Raw genomic sequence first — 1045 nt, 5'->3', positions numbered from 1 at the left:
GCCTTCTTTCAACCCCTTGATTTCCAGCTTTTGCTCTTGGAGATAATTGAATCCAGTGGCTAATGCCAGGGAGCCCCAATAATTGAATCAGCATTTGCTTGAACAAGGACGTTTTATTGTCCTCTTTTAATTGTGTGCATGCCCTATGCCACTGACATGGACAATTTTAGCTAAAAGCTAAAAGCCTCCCAGGTTATGAGTAAACAGGGTGCTTACACAGGCTATTTCAGGGACACAGCTCAGCAGGATTCTTTAGTTTAAATAGAAAGCAGAATCTGAATGAATTACTTTGTTCTTCCACAAAGAAGAACATTGTTCTCATGTAGGCATCGATTTATTCATCAATCAGTCACAGGGCATCTCCTGTACTCCAGGCACTGTTGTAAATGCTGGGGATAGAGAAAAAAAGCCACATGTAATCCCTGTCCTCATGGAACTAATAATCTAGCCAGGAAGTCAACTCATTTAACATATCTAAAATGATGTCTGTACCGTAAGAGTGGATTATATAAAAGGCCTTGAAACCATAGAAAAAAATGAGTAATTGATCCTTTCCAGGGATCAAAGGAGACTTGAGTGAGAGCGCAACAATTGGGGTTGGTTGTAGAGAATAAAGTAGAGCTTTCAAAGAGAAAAAGAGGAATGGGGAGTCCAGCCTGAGGGAACAGACTCTGCAAAGTCAGCACTGTGAAAGCGTTTGTGCTGTTCACTGACCACTGATCATTGATAGAGGGCTTGTGTTACAGACCACAGGGTCTTACACTCCTCATGTAATGGAAATTAACACGGGGCATCAAGTAGATTTCCCACATAGGTCTCTGTTGCGGGACAAGGGAGACAGCAGAGACACAAGGATTTTCAGGCTGGCTCCCTGAAAAGAGTCAGTAGGTAGGGATTTTTTTTATTAGGCAAAGCACAGGAATTGACATCAGAGATTAGGTATGCAGACTGGGCTGGGCAAAGCCTGTATGGGGTAGGGTATAAGGGCAGCGTATCTGGTTGCGATGGTTATCTTTAGTGATGGGCCGCATGCTGGTCTTGCCTG

General features: G+C 43.3%; 1 annotated feature.

Annotated features, from left to right (window-relative positions):
• Window positions 1-501: an enhancer, noted in NCBI's record as "H3K27ac hESC enhancer chr20:11773199-11773699 (GRCh37/hg19 assembly coordinates)". NCBI's record gives its function as "activates a minimal SCP1, AML or CMV promoter by ChIP-STARR-seq in naive H9 embryonic stem cells {active_cell/tissue: H9 hESC(naive)}" and the evidence as "EXISTENCE:reporter gene assay evidence [ECO:0000049][PMID:30033119]".

Source organism: Homo sapiens, chromosome 20 (genome assembly GCF_000001405.40).
Source record: "Homo sapiens chromosome 20, GRCh38.p14 Primary Assembly".
NCBI lineage: Eukaryota > Metazoa > Chordata > Mammalia > Primates > Hominidae > Homo > Homo sapiens.
The sequence above is the reverse complement of the archived record's forward strand: the minus strand, read 5'-3'. Positions and strand labels throughout refer to the sequence as shown.